The sequence below is a fragment of the Homo sapiens genome, chromosome 20, assembly GCF_000001405.40.
Source record: "Homo sapiens chromosome 20, GRCh38.p14 Primary Assembly".
Classification (NCBI taxonomy): domain Eukaryota; kingdom Metazoa; phylum Chordata; class Mammalia; order Primates; family Hominidae; genus Homo; species Homo sapiens.
Genome location: NC_000020.11, coordinates 44,580,094 through 44,598,377, shown reverse-complemented (window position 1 = coordinate 44,598,377; position 18,284 = coordinate 44,580,094). Strand labels below are relative to the sequence as shown.

Here is an 18,284-nt window from a genome sequence, read left to right as displayed (position 1 = left end):
GTTTAATTTCAATTTCCCCGAACGAGCTGGCCTTAATGACCTCTAACAAATAGAATGCAACAAAAATGATTTTGTGTCACCTCCAAGATGAGGCTATAAAGGGTTATACAGCTTTCACCTAGCTCTCTCTGGGGAAACCTGCCTCTAGAGCATTGAGCTGCATATGGGAAATCTGAGGTGGCCGTGCTGTGAGGAAGCCCAAACAGGCCCTATGAAGTAACCACAGGGGAGAGGTCCTGAGACGGCCAGGAAAGAGCAGCAGCCGGCCAGCCTTCAGCGGTGCTGGCCCCAAGCTGCTCCAGTTCCAGCCACCATCTAACTGCAACTGCATAAAAGATCCAAGCCAGAACTGCCCAGCCAAGCTGTTCCCAAATTCCTGACCCACAGAAACCATGAGATATAAGAAACTATTGCTGTTGTTTTAAACCACTGAGTAACAGGGGTGATGGATTATGCAGAAGTGGATAACTGAAGCAATCTCTAATGTTACTTCTAGCTCTGGGGTAAGGGAGGTAAGAGTCTTCTAGCTCTGAAGGAAGGGCAGGAAAGCAAGGAAGTCCTTGGAAAACTGCCCCTCCTTTCACAGTAGGATGGAGACTGCCACTCTCTGAGAACCTTGCTGTGTAGCTGAGCCTCGGCAAATTTAGATCATACATCCGCAGCAGGAGGCCCGGGGAGGACCCAGCATGCCCAGCCACCAAGCAGTGATCCAGATGGACTGTTCTGCTGCTTTCCAGAGACCTTCATGGAAGCACAGACTTTCATGGGTTGAAGACAGTTTGTGTCAATTCTAGTTCCTCTAATTCTATAAAATGCATCTCCAAAATACACCGTGGAGAATGAAAAGAAGCAAGATATTATCTCTATAGTATTCATCCATTCCTTCAGAAAAATTTCACTGATCCCTCAGTGTATACTAGGCTTGGGACTAGATACCACAGATACAAAAACAGTAAGATACCATTGTGCCCCTGAGGGAAGTCCATGGTCTAGTTAGGGAGCTCAGTTCATAAGCCCGTAATTCTTAACCAGTGGTAGTAGGGGGGCAAAAATCACAATTAACAGAATCACTAGAGGATAGTTTCTCATAGTAATTCTAATAAAGCCAGGTGGGGGGATCTGGTGGGGGATTATTATTATTCTAATAATGCCGGGTGGGGGGACCTGGTGGGGAATTATTATTATTCTAATAATGCTGGGTGGAGCGACTGAGGGTGTGCTCTCTAGCTAATGATCACTGTCCTCATCAGCTGCTGTTACTGATGGTTGGGTATCACAGCCCACACACATGATGAGAGAGAGGAGTTTAGAAACCACTTCTGCATATACATCTAAGTATGCGAGGCAGAGGGCACAGCATGCAAGAGGCAAGGGGAGCCTGCTGCCCAGAAAGACTAATAAGAGGCCATGGGGCTGGGGAGCAGTGAATGGGAGAGGAGGTGAGTGGAATGACAGTCACTGGGGACTTTCAGGGTCTTGAGGGGCAAAGAGCAGACTTTAAATTTTGCTCTGACTTTGATTTTACCCTTAATATGTGAATGCTTCCCTTCCAAGACAATATTCAGAGGCTTCTCACTAGTGTAGGGTGAGTGAAGCCCTTCAGACAGTAAGGGAGTCTCTTCACACACTGCTCAGACACTGCACTGTGTGTCCACGGCCACTGCCAGCAGTGGCTGGGGCTCTGCCGTCTTCAGCTGCAGGAGGGATGTCCTTCCATCCTTCCTGCCTCCTGAGAGAAGTAGGGTTCCGAACCCAGAACTTGCTACATAGGTAAATACCGGTTGAACAACAGCCTCCCTTGGAACCTGGAAGAGCAACATGTTTGCAAGCCAGGGACCATCACTACTTGAGCAGAGTGTAGATGTCATCCGTACCTCTGGCCCACATTAACATCATTTACTCAAGGTTCCTAAGCCCTTGGTTGTTCAGTATTCCAGCCCTCCCCCCACACCTCCAGTCTTCATGGGAATGCCAGCCCCCTGTAAACAGTCCTGTGTAATTCCTGGCAGCCTGGGGCGTAGGCCCTTTAGCCTGAGTCCCTCTTCCTCTTCCCTGACCCACCAGAAGAGATGAAGTTTCCTTGCCTGCCACCTGCAGCACCTTGACTTCTTCCTAATAATGACTCAGTCGAAATTCATTCAACAGTCATTCGACAAATACACACAGAAATGTCCCGTGAGCCAGGCATGATGCTGATACATTTGTTCATTATCTGCCATTCCAACTGATTCCAAGAGGGTAGGTACCCTGCCTTTCTTGTTTGTCACTGTATCTTTGAAATATAGCACAGCTCCTGACATATAGATTTTAATCACTCAGTGACTAAATAACCATCTGATTCCTGGCTCCTGACCAAATAAATAATAACAATGATAAGAGTAAAACAAAACAAAAATGTGTTTAAAATTAATTTATTTAATATTTAATAAAATAAAAAATTGGCTACCACTTATGGGGTGAATATACTATGTTCAAACATGTTGACATGTTTGGGGTGCTGGGCATGCATTTTCGTGGTTGTACTTGGGGCATCCACAGGACAGTTGTACTTTTACAGCACCAGGGGCACCAGGCGCAGTGGTTCACACCTGTAATCCCAGCACTTTGGGAGGCCAAGGCTGGCGGATCACGAGGTCAGGAGTTCGAGACCAGCTTTACCAACATGGTAAAACCCCATCTCTACTAAAAATACAAAAATTAGCCGGGCATGGTGGTGCACGCCTGTGATCCCAGCTACTCAGGAGGCTGAGACAGAAGAATTGCTTGAACCCAGGAGGCGGAGGTTGCAGTGAGCCAAGATCATGCCACTGCACCCCTGCCTGGGCAACACAGCGAAACTCCATCTCAAAAAAATAAATAAATAAATAAAAGTACTTGGGGCATCCCAAAGGACAGCTGTACATTTATAGTTATAATTGTGAACTTCAGCAATATTTGATACTGTATCCCAGTTCATGCCTAAGCAGAAACACTAGAGGCCTGGTGTGCTCTCTCAAGATTCTGGCATCTGAGAGGCTGGTGGCCAAGGGAGCACAGTGGCCCACAACACTTTGGGTTCTCTCTAGACCAGTGTTCTTAAACTTTAAGGGTCACAGACACATTTGAGAGTTTGAGGGAAGCTACAGATACTTTGCCCAGAAAAGTATATATTCTCTGCGTGTGTGTGTAACCATACCTATGATCACAGGGGGCTCTTAACCCATAAGCCCCTGGCTAAAAACTCCAGCTCTAGACATCACATAACCCTGCATTCTTAAGGTTTGGAGGCTCTGGACCTCAACTCTCCCAGCACAGCTGGAACAGAAGCCTTCCTAAAATGGCCTTGGCCAGAAAAAGAGTCCTGGGAGCCGACTGCTGCATCCTAGTCACTGCAAACATCTGCACCCAGGGGATTCCCAGGGGCCCTGAGTCAGAACAGGTCACAAGATGGGTGGCTTGGAAAGTTGCTATGGCAAGGCCCTGAAGCCTTGCTGATAAGCAGCCAAATAGTTCCAACCTCAAGGCAGCTTCCCTCCAGATGAGACCCTTGCTATGACAACAGTGAAAAGGACTCTTAAGAGAGGTGCTGGAGGCAGAGTAGAGGCCAAAAAAGGGAATTCAAAGGAGCTGGAAATCCCCCAGACTCCCAGGACTACTAGGACCTGGAGAAATAAAGGCTGGATTTTCTGCCCCCATTGCAAGGAGACAGAGCCGAAGAGGGGTGAGGGGTGGGAATGGGGGAGGCAAGTAAGCTTAAGCTATGGGTCAGAGCCTGTATGAATCGGGGCTCCACCAATTGCTAGCTGCATGACGCTGAGCAAATCACTTAACATCTCTGAGCCTCAGTTTCTTCTTTTGTAAAACAGAGATATCAACCCCCAACCCTTAGGGTTGTTGTGAAATTAAAGGAAATTCATGCATAATTTTTTTGAGTCCTTTCCTCCTAGGAACCTGAAAAGGTAAGGAATGAAGGAAGTACAGGATGATAGTTGAGAGCTCACTCTAGTCTCAGATGAAATCTGTGAGGCAAAATTCCTGACCTCTCTGAACCTCAGGTTCTTCATCTGTGAAACGGGGACAATGATACTTTACTTGTAAGGTTCTACTGGGATTGGAAATAATGGATGTATAATGCCTGGCTCACATGACAAGATGCTCAATAAAGGGTGGTGGTTACTATTATCAGAAAAGCAAAGCTAAATTAAAGAAGTCGTTTTGGTGTAGCTGAAAAAATAGAAGATGTGGAGCTAAAAAAAGCTCAAGTGAAATCTTAGTTATGCAACTTTCCAGCTCTGGTACATTGGCCAAATGATGTAATCTCCAAAAGCCTCAGTTTCCTCCTTGGTAAAACATGGATAATAACAGAAACTACCTAATTAGACACTGGATGTAAAGGTTTAGCCCAGCGTTGGCACAAGAGCACTCATCCATATGCTATAAACCATACTCTTTGAGCTTACACAACAGCTCAGGGTATGACTGATGGCTTCCTGTGACCTGGGCAGATTCTTTAAATTTTTTTCAGTTTTATTAAGGTATGAATGACAAATAAAAATGTTATATATTCACACTGTGACATGATTATCACAATCAAGCTAATTAACATATCCACCACCTCACACAGTTACTTTTTGTGACGAGAATACTTAAGATCTACTCTCTTAGCAAATTTCAAGTATACAATACCATATTATTAACTGTAATTACCATGCTGTACATTAGGTCGCCAAAATTTATTCATCTTATAACTGCAAGTTTGTAACCTTTGCTCAACATCTCTCCATTTCCCCAACAACCCTTCTACTCTCTCTGGAAACCACCCTTCTACTCTCTCTTAGTTCAACTCTTTTAGATTCCACATATAACTGAGATCCTGTAGTATTTGTCTTTCTGTGTCTGCCCTATTTCACTTAGCACAATGTCCTCCAGGTTCAACCATGTTTTTGCAAATGTCAGGATTTTCTTTTTTAAGGCTGAGTAATAGTCGTGTGTGTGTGTGTGTGTGTGTGTGTGTGTGTGTGTGTGTGTGTGTGTTGATTATTATAGCATTATAATTTTTTTTTTTGAGACATAATCTCACTCTTTCAGCCAGGCTGGAGTACAGTGGCATGACTACGGCTCACTGCAGCCTTGATGCGATGCCTGGGCTCAAGTGATCCTCCCACCTTGGCCTCCTGAGTAGCTGGGACTACAGGTGCACGCCACCATGCCCAGCTACTTTTTGGATTTTTTTTTTTTCTTTTATAGAAACAGGGTTTCGCTATGTTGCCCAGGTTGGTCTCGAACTCCCGCCTCAGCCTCCCAAAGTGCTGGAATTACAGGTGTGAGTCACCATGTCCAGCCTATAATATTTGAAATCAGGTTGTGTGATGCCTCCAACTTAGATCTTCTTGCTCAAGATTGCCTTAGTAATTTGGGGTCTTTCATGGTTTCATAGGAATTTTAGGATTATTTGTTCTATTTCTGTAAGCAATGCCACTGGAATTTTGATAGGAATGGAATTAATTCTGTAGATCGCTTTGGGTAGTATGGACATTTTGACAATATTGATTCTACTGGGCAGATTCTTTAAATGGCTTGGTATGGACACAGCCTTAACTCTTTCCAGAACAGGCTGAACTGCCTGTTCAACTAGGCAGGATTCTCACTTTTTACTCTCTCCACTGGCTTCAGAGGCTCCTCTCAAAGGAGTTTTCCTCATGGCCAGGAGACAGGGAGTGACTTCAGTGTCCACGGTAAACCAGATTAGGGGGTGGCCTTCTGGCAGAAGGAGTAACTATGTGCTTCCCTGGATGCACGGCCTGCCCTCCTTGCTGAGGTGCAAAGGAAAGCAGCCTGGGAGATGAGCAGGCACACTCCTAGCTGCCAAGCAGTTTGCCCATAGGGTGGGAAGGCAGCTGCCCTGTTTAATGCACCTGGGGAAAAGGACTGATTGAGAGAAGTGCTAAATGGGCATGTTGGCCCCAGGATTCAGTTCTGGACCACGTTTTGGTTATCTGAGGGCTCTGTACAGGATTTTCAAGGTTTGTAAGAGAACAGCTGTCCCTTGATTCCTCTGTGTCCTCTGCACTGTCTGAAAGGTCTGAAGGAGCACCAGCAGAATGGCAGATGCTACCCACAGAAGTCAGAGAGCACGAACTCCAGACTCCGGCCCTTCTCCTTCTTCCCAATTGTGTCACTACCAGCAAGCAGTTCCACCTCTTTGAGTCTCGGTTTCCTCATCTATCAAATGGAGATAATATATATGTACTTCATAAGATCAAACTAAATGAGGCTGAGAAGGATGTAAGTGCTTATCACATCTGGCACATGGCTTAAATAATAGTTCTAGCAGCTCTGCCCAAGCACTCTTTTGTCTGTGGGTGGTGCCAAGCACACACCTGGCCTTCGGTCAGTGTTTGCTCCCTCCCCTCTGTAGACCGGTCCTTCTTGGCTGCAGGGAGAGGGAGCTGTGAGACTGATCCTGAGGCTAGGGCTTCTTCACTGCTCTCATCCCAGGCGATAAGCTGCAGCGACAGGATGCACTTAATGTGCGCTTGAGGATTTCAACAAATCCTTACATGGCAAACGAAACAGAGAGATTTCTCTGGAAGCCCTAGCTGGGCATGTAAAATATCCATGATATTTTAAGATATCATGATGATATCTCATGAGATGAGAGAAAAGAAGAGTAATACTTATTATCTTCATTTAATAGATAAGGAAGCTGAAGCTCATAGGTGTGAAGTGACTTGTCCAAGGCAACCTGTACACTCTGCTTTACACTGGGTGCCCCCACCCACCCACCCAGCACCACTTCCTCTTTTCTCCCCAAGGAGTCTATCTTATCTCAGACTTCGGGCTCTGTCCTTTGCCTTCTTGAAGTTCCAAGGGAAGGAGGAGCACAGGCGCTAAGAAGAGAGGTGATGAGAGTGGGCCAGGCAGAGTGCGGAACTCTCTCAGTCCCTTAGAACTCTCTCAGTCCCTTACCCAAACTGAAGCTAGACAGTCTCCTTCCTAAGCCTGACTCACAACTCTCCCCTGCTTAAAGCCCTCCAGCGACTTTCCATTCAGAGCCATCAGGATAAAGTTCAGATTCATTCATGGACACCTCCAGACTCAACTCCAGCCAGGGAACCCCCTCTGCACTGTGTTTGGCCCATGGAATTTCCATGGAGTGCTGCACCCCCCAAGCCTCCAGGCCTTCGCTGTGCTGCTCCGCAAGCCCCCAGCCTGTCCCCGCCCACTCTTCTCCAAGTCATCTCCTGCATACCTTTCAAGCCGCAGCACCCTCTGCCCACTAGCCCTCTGGACCTACCGCAGACTACTGCTACTAGTCTACTGTCAGCCAGACCCACAAGCTTCCTGAGGGCAAGGACTGTGCCACTTTTGCTTTGTTATCTGGTGTCCAATTTATAGAAGATGCTCCATAAATACCTGCTAAATTAATGTAAAAATGAAAAAAACTTTTCCTGGCTGAGGCAGGAGTCTAAACTGAGCTGCACCAGACACAGCTGCAATGTGCCCCCTACAGTGCTGAAGAGAGAGAAAATCACAAGACCTTCTCTCTCCCATGCAGCTTTCAGTCCTCACACCATCCTTAGCTTATGGACAGATGCACAGTGGATTCGGCAAGCTCTTCAGAGCGATGCGCTCATCCCCAGGCTCTTTAGCCTCTTTGTGAAAATTCCAGCTATGGAGAAGGTCCAGGTGGGTGTAGGCCAATCTAGAATAGCCTTCAATTCTGATACCTTAACAACCACATCCATGGATGCTGATGGATGCCTGGTGGGTGAAAAGATCTCTGTGGACCCAGTACTTCCAACTTGACAATTCAAAGAAATTCACCAGATTTGTTGATAAATACTGCTGCTTTAGGTAAAAAGTCGATTATTATGTTACCCTGAGTTTAAAATTATTAACTTATGCCAGAAACATTTAGATATCATAAACTATGGACACTGGACCCAAGGTGGCCATACTGCCAGGTGGGCCACTTGTGCTCTTTGAATGGCAATTTGTTCTCAGCTGGAGGGACTGCATCTTCATCCCTTCTCACCAGACTACTGGGCCGAACCCATTTCTTTGGGTTGGGTTTTGCTGGCTTTTGCTCCTCTATTACAGCATTAAAATGAAAATTCCCATAATGTGCCCTGGTCTTTGTGAAAACAGCTTTACAGCAAACACTTGGTGGAGAGGAAAGCTGGCACCAGGCCCAATGTTGCTAATAACTCCTGTGTATGATTCCACCTGCTTAAGCTTAAGTACATGGCCGGGAAACCCATCCCCTCTTAAGCCACCAAAGGTAAATTTTCTTTCTGATGCTATTAAAAAAAAAACGCCTGAAAACAGAATCTTGACTGTGAAATTGTAGCATGCTGTTATGTATATAACTTCTGAAAAGAGCCATCCTGCCTTTTCTTCATAAGGTCAAAATCTCCCACTAATTTAGTTTGGAACTTACGTATTTTCTTCCTTCAACCAGAAATAAAGATATTCAGGCAAAAACGTGTGCTGCTCTGGCAGTAGAGTATGAACAGTGCCACTACCTACCTGGTTTAATTTCTTTTTCCTGCTTGCATCTCTTCAGATTTTCCACTGTTGACTAATCAGTACGGGAATTCTAAGGAACCAGAAGAAAAACAAAAATTAGAGCCAGACATACTCTGGGATTATAAATTGAAACAATCTTTTGGGAAGACAAGTTGACAATATCTATTAACTTGTTAAATGTGCATACATATCCTTTGGGGTCAAATTCCTAGACACGTCACATTCCTGAAATGTCCAGGAATTTATACTACAGATATATTTACCTAAGTAAAAAGATACTCAGTGAAATACTGTATAGTAGCAAAACCAAGGGGCGAAAACAACTTAAATGTCTATTAATAGAAAAATAGTTAAATTATGGTGTATCAATATCATGAGAAACTATACAGCAACTTCAAAGAATGAAGGAGATTTCATTGTACTGATGTGGAAAAAAGTACATGCTTGATTGTTAAAAAGCATATTGTAAAATTGCATATATTATCATTTTTTAATTAAAAAAAGAACTTTACATTTTCTTTTTAATTTTAAGAGACCAGGTCTCACTCTGTCCCCAGGCTGGAGTGTACTGGTGCAATCATAGCTCAATGTAGCCTCAAACTCCTGGCCTCAAGCAATCATCCACTCTCAGCCACCTGACTAGTTGAGATTACAGGTGTGAACTACTGTGTCCTGCTCAAATGTGAACATGATTATTTATGTTTAGAAAAAAAAAAAGTACAGCATTTGTGTACGTGCACATTTTTAAAAAGTATACATACTTTACACTTTAAACAATTTTCAGTATATATAGAAAAGGGCAAACTGTAACCAATGGTTCCCCCTGGGAAACTTCTCTCTTTTGAAAAAAATTATTCTCTTTTGAGAAATTGTGAGAAAAGAAATGAAAGACTTTCACTTTGTACATTATCTATTTCTGTTTTGATTGAAAACTTTTAAAGAGGCATGTATAACTTTCACATTCATTACACATGCTATGCAAAAAATTCTATATCTAGCTAACATATCAAGTGTGAGGGCAAAAGATATTTTCAAACAAAGACTGGGCAAGTTTACCATTCACAGACCCCAAGAATATTCTCCAATAGAAAGGAAACTGAATACAGAAAATAAGTGAGATTTTTAGAATCAATAATGAGCAAAGGAAGGAATAATCCAGCACCCTTCTTTACTCCCTCTCCCTCCTTTACTCTTGGTATAAGTGACTCCATTTCTTTTTTTTTTTTTGAAAGTCTCACTCTGTCACCCAGGCTGGAGTGCAATGGCACAATCTCAGCTCACTGCAACCTCTGCCTCCCAAGTTTAAGCAATTCTTCCGCCTCAGCCTCCCAAGTAGCTGGGACTGCAGGTGCGTGCCACCGCGCCCGGCTAATTTTTGTATTTTTTTAGTACAGACGGGGTTTCACCATGTTGGCCAGGCTGATCTTGAAATACTGACCTCAGGTGATCCACTCGCCTTGGCCTCCCAAAGTGTTGGGATTACAGGCATGAGCCACCGCGCCCAGCCCTCTTCTCAGTTTGAATACCACCTTTTCAAGGAAGACCCCAGCCACACTCTCCTCTTTCACTCCCCCTGCTTATTGACTTCTTAACGCCACCATTTGTGCTTGTAAACTTCATGCAGGTAAAGGCCATGCCTGTTATATTTAACATCATCCACCTATCACCTTGCCCAGTGCCTGGCGGATATTAGGTTCTCAACAAATATTGGCTAAATACATGAAAAATTTATTGAAGGCTCAGCTCAAATGCTACTGCTCCTCCAATCTCTTAGGCTTTCTACAGGACTCTGTCCCCATCTTGGGGCACATTTTCACAATGTGTTCATGTTATCTGAGTCTTTTTTTCCTATCCGGCCATGAGCAACCTCAAAGTCTTATTTACCTCGACATTCCCCACCGCACCTTGCATAATGCCTAACACATAAAGGGTTCTTAGCAGTAGATGAATCTACACACACGTCCAGGAAAGTATAAATGATGGCCGCAGGCTCTAACCAATTGCAGATAGTAGTGATTGGAGCCCACAACACAAGCACCTTTGAGATATGCAAACAAACATGAGACTTTGCCCAGGGAGAAATTAAAATTAGAGCTAAACTTGAAATACAGCGGTATGTGGGTGGGGGGATTGGGAGACAGGCCCTTATTCAAAAACAGAGAAGTGAAATCACTGAGTGATGATTTATTTTAAGTGTGTTTTTCTGTACTATCTAGCTTTTCTTCCCTTGAACATATTCTAATTTTGCAATCAGAAAAAAAAAATCCACAATAAATGTTATAAAAACAAACCAACGGAAAATCAGTGGTGATTTTAGACTACAAAAGTCACCCGTCCCTCTGTTTCCTTACTACAACTTTGGACTTCAGATTCAGGGCCCTCTCAGGTGGGGCCCATACATTTTGTAAGGAAGTGTTCTTTCCACCCCTCTGAAGCCACGGGGGATAGGAAGGTGCCAGAAATGAGTGCTTCAGCAGGGGCAGCTCTCAGTTGCTCCCTAATGCAAATGCTGGCAAAGCTCCCAGAGCCAGGAATTGTAGGGAGAGAGCAGAAGGAATCAACCCAGCGCAAGATCAGGACCTCCACAATATGCTGATCCAGTGTCTGGTGTTTTGTAGCACTTGTGCATATTTCTTTTGCAGTACTTTTCACGTGCCATTAAAATTATTCACTCCTCTGTCTATCTTCCCTTGTTGCACAGAGAATTCCACAAGACCAGAGGCAGTGTCTTTACCCTGGTCCTCTAGTTCAGTGCTTAGTACTAACAGGTCCTCAATGTACATTTATGGAATGTTAAAGACTACACTGATAAAGTACTAAAACAGTAACTGACCTAGGTTCCTGGGACATAGTAAGAATACACCAAATACTTTCTTCGGTGCCATGAAGGGCCATTATTCAGTTCTGAAGAGTCAAGCTAAAGCCTGTAATTTCTTGAAACATTAAAGAGACTTCTTTTTGGAAATGCAGCTTCCTCCAGTAAGAGCGGATACATTATGTGTTCTAATCTGCAATTCATAATCAGTCAGCATAGGAGCCCACGGCAACTTCCAAAGAAACCACTCTTTGAAGGAGCAGTACTCCAAGTTTTCCTAAGACATTTCTGAAGGATTTCCAGGAGGTAGTGAGCTCAGCCTAGGGTCATGATTAATAACCTGTTTCCCAGAACTTTAGATTTTCCACCTCAGTCTCCACTTAGGAATTGCTTCTGGCCCCTCGTGAAAGCATTTGGCAGAGTTAATTGGGCCAGTTCAGCTTCTTGTCTGTCACAGCCAGCACCTGTTACCAGCTTCTTCCTTAAGTGGCTGGGCTAGGGTCCTCTGGTCCCAAGAGAATAGCACCCACTTCTGCTTTTGGCCTCAGCACTGGCTGGCTGATTTGAGGTTCAGCATCACTTGACTGGGTGACAGGAAATAATGCTGAGGCTTGGTTTGAAGAGCCAACATGGCAGCTCCAGGGTTCATCACAGGGGTTTCAAAATGATGAGTTCAAAGATAACTTCTGGTTCCTCATGCAAATGCCATCCTATGTCTGAGGGGGCAGATGCCTGTGTACATTGGCTGACATTCTCTTTCTGGAAATTGAGAGCAGCTAATCCTAAGCATGTATTTTTGTACTAACTAAGTGCTTTATGAGCCCTATCTCATTTCATCCGCATGGCACCCCTTTGAGGTCAGTATGACTGTGACCCCCCACTTGACAGAAAGAGAAGTAGGTTCTATAAAGTGAGGTGATCAGTCCAGGATCTCCCAGCTAGGAGGCGGTGAAAGCAGAGCTCTTACCTGCTATCCCCTTCCAATTTCTCACTGAACTCGAGAGCTCTCACCTGCTGTCCCTTTCCAATTTCTCACTGAACTCAAGAGCTCTCACCTGCTATCTCTTTCCAATTTGTCACTGAACTCTAGAGCTCTTACCTGCTATTCCTTTCCAATTTCTCACTGAACTCGAGAGCTCTTACCTGCTACCCCTTTCCAATTTCTCACTGCCCTCTAGATTGTCTAAATCGAAAGAAACGGTAGACACCAACCAGATGCAGGGCTGCAAATTCCCACAGGGGCCAGGGGCCAGGCAGGAGACTAGAGGGCACAGGGGAATGCGCAAATGGTAATGAACTGGAGAACACACCTGCCTAAAGGCATTCAAATTAAAAACAAAACACCACTCTGACTTCTGACTAGAGTTCACTTGTCATCATTTAACAGATGGAGCAACTGAGATCCAGGGAGGTGATATGAAAAAGGCACTGCAGTATGGTGAAATATTCAAGGGCTTCGGGGACAACCAGTTCTCATTGGGAACTCAAGCTCTAGCCCCTGCCAGCTGTGAGACTCTGGGCAATCCACTGCACCTCTCTGTGCCTTTCTTAGGTGTAAAATGGAGATGATCTCTGCCTCACATCATTGCTGTGAAGATTAAGAGAAGTCAGCATATGCAAGATGCCCAGCCCTGTGTGTGACATTTATTTCAGGAAGATACCAAAGCCAAATGAGATCTCTGGACACATCTTTTCCACAACCTACCTCCACTCCCAAGATGCCCTAAACTCACTGCCGGGAGTGACTGAGGTGGGAGAGATCAGCAAACACACACTGATAACAGGAGCAACTTTGACACACAAAACAAGAACTGAAAGCCACCCTCATCTGGTACATGAAGGCCTACCTAGTTGAGGAGTGTGAGGCATTCCACATTTCCACTCTCCACTTCCTGGCAGGGACCACAAAGTCTAGGTACCTTCCTTCCAGAACATCACCTCCTCACCACCACCTTAGGAAAAAGGATGCCTTTTTTGATTACCCCAAATCTCAAGATCCCAGCGGGGCTGGGATGAAGCAGAGGATGCCCTGGCCTTCCCACTGCCCATGCCCATGGGTGGGTCCATGGCAGCAACAGTCCACCTTCATGGGATGAAATGCTGGGGAAGACTGCAGCTTTAGAAGTGCCAAGAGACCCCATCTCTACTAAAAATACAAAAATTAGCTGGGCGTGGTGGCAGGCGCCTGTAATCCCAGCTATTCGAGGGGCTGAGGCAGGAGAATCCCTTGAACAAAAACGGGAGGTGGAAGCTGCAGTGAGCCAAGACTGCACCATTGCACTCCAGCCTGGGAGACAGAGTGAGACTCCGTCTCAAAAAAAAAAAAAAAGAAGTGCCAAGGGCCTTTGAGAACCCTCTTATTAACTAGGACCTTAATTCAAACAAATAGTTTCTAAATACCACAACTTCCTGAGGATTAGGGTCTCTGATGCCCTTAAAGAAAACAAAACAAACAAACAAAAACAAAACAAAACAAAGCAAAAACCTTAATTTGTCAAGACCCGGCACCTTGGAAACTCAAAATTCAAGATCTGACGTCTTTTGCTTTTTTTTTTTTTTTTTTGCACTCTGGCTGTGGCTATCCTTCCCTTGTGGCAGGAGAGGGTGGCTCTATGTTAAATGATGAAAGAGGGGCAAATAGAGGGATTTTCCCCCTTCTTCTCCCTCTTTCTTGCCAAATGAGGAACTAGGATGGCGGGCTTTAAGTTTAAATTAAGTTGTGTCTCCTTTGTACCTATGTGCCAGGCTTTCTACTAGGCAGTGGGGCATAGTGATGGGCTAGACAGACACGCAGAGAAGGTGCAGATGGTCTAGTGGAGACATGGGGAATTGAAGTTATGCCAGTAATTATGTAAATACAGTTTAGTTCAGGATAATATGAAAACATATAAGTAGATGGTTGTCCTCAGTCAATGGGGTTAGGGAATAATACTGACCATCTAGTGCTCTGTAAAGGGTTGAGCATAACATAGGGCCTAGTGCTTAAGAGATACTCAATAATGCCAATTCCTTCTTTCCTCTCTCCCCAAGTGTATGTGCTAGTGTATGCGTGTGCACATACAGTTACCACTGAGACTTTTTCTTTCTCTTTCTTCAAGAACACCTAATCTGAAAAAGACCCATAAAAACTCAGAAGTAACTTAATGTTGCCTGTTTTATGTCTTCTTTTAACTGTCCTACAGGCACCCGTTTTTAGCTACTCTGGGAAACTGAAAACCTAGGGTCCTTTGCTCCTAAAGCCATAAGGGCCCAATACAAAGGGAAAAGAAATATGGACAGTTCATTTCATACTGAATTTGGAAATACAGAGATCATCTAGTTTTGTCCCCTCATTAGGTACAAATAAAGAAACAAGACCCAGAGAGTGTGAAACACTTGCCCAAGGTGACAGTTTCCTTGGGTGACCCTTCTAATATATGGTAGCTTTTTGTTGAAGCTGAAATCTTCCCGTTAGCTGTAACTTTTCAAATATACTTAACCTGCTAAGAGGGGACACCTCCCCTGTTAGCACACTGCAAGCCATCTCAAGCCACCTAGGAATCCTCCTCAGTTCAGGGACCCACCAAGTAAGGGACCTGGGTACAGCAAGGGCCCCCTCTTTCCCTCTCTACAGAGTAGCTTGCTTAGTTTCAAACCCTGAAAACAGATACCAACAAATAAAATGCCTAAAGGCTTACATGTCCTGTTTATATTCCAGGCATAAACAGCAAATTTTTAAAAGGAAGCAATAAAAAGATCGCAAACCCAAGGTTAAAGATTTCCAACCCCTTTCCATCTTGGAGTTTTCCACACAGCTGCTGCAGCACTGGGTTTATATGTGGTAAATTCATGGAGTCTGACCATATCTGTAACTGAAATTTAACACAACAACCATGTTCCTGAGGGGGAAGATAATAGGGAATTTTCACTACTTTCGGAGACTTTTCTTTCTAGAATGTTTAAAAATTATTATACCACCTTTGTAATCAGAAAAAAAGAAAGGGTTTTACAAACACGAATTTCTTAGGGAAGATTTATTTCTTCACCTATATTTGGAGCAAGGAGCTGCTTTTAAAGCTCTGAATACTCTGTCAAAGTTCTTTGAGTAAAAATGAAACAGCATCTGAATGGAGCCCATTTGTGAGACTGGAGGCTCCGACTAGCCTTAGGCAGTTTCAGACAAGGCCATAATTTTCAGAGCAAGCTCACATATATCATTATATAAAAATAGACATTTTGTGGCCAACAGGCTGGAAAGCAAGCTCTCCAGAGAGCTCTGCCTCCAAGCTCTGCTTCTCCCTGGGGGTGTTGGGCAGGGGAGGAGAGTAAAGTTCTACTTACAAGACCAAAGTTTCCTCAAAATCCAGTGGTCCTCAGTCAGAAGCGGAGGCAGAATTTAAGAAACCAGGATTCAAGGTTAGCAGTCCAGACCTGTGGTGCGGGCAGGATTCTCACTTTACCCTCCTCTCTGTCTCTTCCCCGTGTCTCCTAAATGAAAAGCACTTTGAGGTTTTAGTGGGTGTTTCCCATGTCTCGGGCCAAGTAAGTCCCCATTTGTTGTAATCCAATGCTCAGCCTGATGATGTCAACCACACAACTCACTCACTCAGTTTCCACCTCTCTGTCCACAGGAGAGATCCATTTCCTTTGGACAATGAGCCAGGGGGCTGTAACTGCATCCCAGGCCACCACGCTTGCCTAATATCCTTCCTTCAATTTTCAACCCTGCAGCTTTAGTGACAAAAGGCTTCCTATCCACTCACTGAGCCAGGGTTCCTGGGTAAATTCCTTTGCTTCTTAGTGGGTTGTCTGCTTTCCTGTGTGTTTAATTCCTTTCTTTGGTATATAATATACTAGTTAGGGTGGAGATCTTCACCCCACCCCACACCCATCTCTTTCTTCCTGCCCAATTTTCCAAGTTGTTTCATTTCTCCCAGGTCTCCTAGGTACATGCTGGGCACAGTACATGAGTTTGTCCTTCATGTAGGGGAGGTGATGTGTGCCCCCGGGGAAGGCTTGGAAACAGCACTGGTGTGTCCCCTGGGAAACTGGGTTCCAGTCTTGGTCAGGCCTTCAACTGAATGAATGACCTCAAGCAAGTCACATCCCTCTCTGGACCTCAGTTTCCCTATCAACAAAATGCTGGCTTTGGTGCTTTCCACTTCTGAGATTCAATGAGTAAAAATCAGTGACTGGGGAACTTATAAACAAATGCATTATAGAGCATTTTACTACAAGCTACCCAACTACATGCTTGAGGGAAGGAAGAACCCTGGAGAAGTCAGAGGCCACTGCCCAAGATGCCAGGCTCAGCTGGGCACCTTTAACCCCCTTTATGAAGGAGATGAACAGATTCTCTGGGAGTAAAACCAAAAGAATTCACTGAACAAGTCCTTAGGGACATGAAAAGCAGCAGCATAAACTACAAGATAAGACAAACAAGTAACAGGCTATAAGTGTCCTTAGGGACCAACATGGAACAGCAGTGGTTACGAGAGATCATTTCTTGCATTTGGAGAGTGCTTGATGGTAAAGACAAAGAACATCTCTCTACTTTCGTGTACAATGGGGAGCGAGTGACATGCATAGTGGTTAGGAACATCATTTGGGAGCCACAGATGTGGATCTGAGTCCTGTCTGACTTAATTTCTCTGAACTTCAGTTTTTTTAACTGTCAAGTGGGATACTAGTGCCTCTGTTTTAGGATTGTGAGAATTAAAAAACACATGTAAGGAAACTGAAAGTATTTGGTACATACTAAGTATTGAATAAATGTTTGCTCTCGTTGTACATAATCTCATTTGATTCTCATAACATCCTTAGGAGAATCAGATAAGTGCTATGAGGCTACATTATTAATCTCTCCTTCCTGGATAAGAAGACATATACAGAGAAGTTAGGTGACATGCCCAAGGTCACACAGCTCAAAACGAAAGGGACAGAATTAGAAATGAAGCCTCAACTCCTAACTAGGTCAGCACACATGCCACACACATGCCAATGCCAATGCCATTTCTCAAAGTGGTTGCCGCAGCCAGCCTGGGAAAGGAAACACTCAGGCCACTAGGTCAGAGAGGCTGCTTTCCTTGCTTTGCTACCCAAATCCTGTGTGGCCTGAAGCAAGACTGGGCTTCAACTAACTCCCTCAAAAGGAGCAGATCTGATCTGTTTCAATGCCACTTTGATGGTGATGGGAAGGTAGGACCGGAGCTTTACTGGGAAAGCGGCTCTCTATAGGTAAGGAAGAGGCTGTGGTAATTTGTGGTTTAACAAGAATTTTTATTAGTTCTCAGAAAACACAGATGCTTATCAGAAAACATCCAAGAAAACAGGCTATATTAGGAGGGAGTTTGTCAATCTGAAGGCTTTTCAACAATGTGACAATGTGACGTAGGACTGCTGTGGAATAAAAACCACACCAGCCTGGCCGGGCGCGGTGGCTCACACCTGTAATCCTAGCACTTTGGGAGGCCGAGGTGGGTGGATTGCCTGAGCTCAGGAGTTTGAGACCAGCTTGGGCAACACGGTGAAACTCCATCTCTACTAAAATACAAAAAAAATTAGTCAGGCGTGGTGGCGTGTTCCTGTAGTCCCAGCTACTTGGGAGGCTGAGACAGAAGAATTGCTTGAACCCAGGAGATGGAGGTTGCAGTGAGCCGAGATTGCACCACTGCACTCCAGCTTGGGCGACAGTGAGACTCTGTCTTTAAAAAAAAAACAAAAAACAAAAAACAAAACAAAACAAAAAAACACCAGCCTGGTAACCCACAGAGAGCAGCCGTTCACAGCTCAGAGAGATGTGGGCTTCCTTCTGGTCCCTAGACCTTCTTGCTGTGCTTTGGTTTCCCAGTGTAAAATGAGAAGAATAACAGCCTTACTCTCCAAGGTTCTTGTGTGGGTTATGTGCCTGGCACATACTATACATTGAAAAATATTTGAATACTTCTTGTCTAATTCTGACCATTTCATCATCCTTTGC

The 18,284-nt window shown here is 44.5% G+C and overlaps 1 protein-coding gene across 11 annotated transcripts in view, besides 3 other annotated features; it reads right to left on the bottom strand.

Annotated features, from left to right (window-relative positions):
- The window catches only part of PKIG (cAMP-dependent protein kinase inhibitor gamma), an 87,163-nt gene that overhangs the window by 20,660 nt on the left and 48,219 nt on the right, over positions 1-18,284 (bottom strand). For 4 of the 11 annotated variants that reach the window (NM_001281444.2, NM_181804.3, XM_047439850.1 and 1 more), the window contains exons 2-3: positions 15,647-15,793; positions 8,512-8,581 (exon numbers count right to left, since the gene is read on the bottom strand). The gene's annotated coding sequence lies outside the window, so the exon portion shown is untranslated. Of the gene's footprint in view, positions 1-8,511; positions 8,582-13,173; positions 13,279-15,646; positions 15,800-18,284 lie in introns of those variants that run through there. The other 7 variants (XM_047439851.1, NM_007066.5, XM_017027615.2 and 4 more) reach the window with 4 other exon arrangements.
- Positions 53-800: an enhancer, noted in NCBI's record as "H3K4me1 hESC enhancer chr20:43226219-43226966 (GRCh37/hg19 assembly coordinates)". NCBI's record gives its function as "activates a minimal SCP1, AML or CMV promoter by ChIP-STARR-seq in primed H9 embryonic stem cells {active_cell/tissue: H9 hESC(primed)}" and the evidence as "EXISTENCE:reporter gene assay evidence [ECO:0000049][PMID:30033119]".
- Positions 3,317-3,426: an enhancer, noted in NCBI's record as "active region_17929". NCBI's record gives its function as "activates an Ori minimal core promoter by ATAC-STARR-seq in GM12878 lymphoblastoid cells {active_cell/tissue: GM12878}" and the evidence as "EXISTENCE:reporter gene assay evidence [ECO:0000049][PMID:35858748]".
- Positions 3,457-3,566: an enhancer, noted in NCBI's record as "active region_17928". NCBI's record gives its function as "activates an Ori minimal core promoter by ATAC-STARR-seq in GM12878 lymphoblastoid cells {active_cell/tissue: GM12878}" and the evidence as "EXISTENCE:reporter gene assay evidence [ECO:0000049][PMID:35858748]".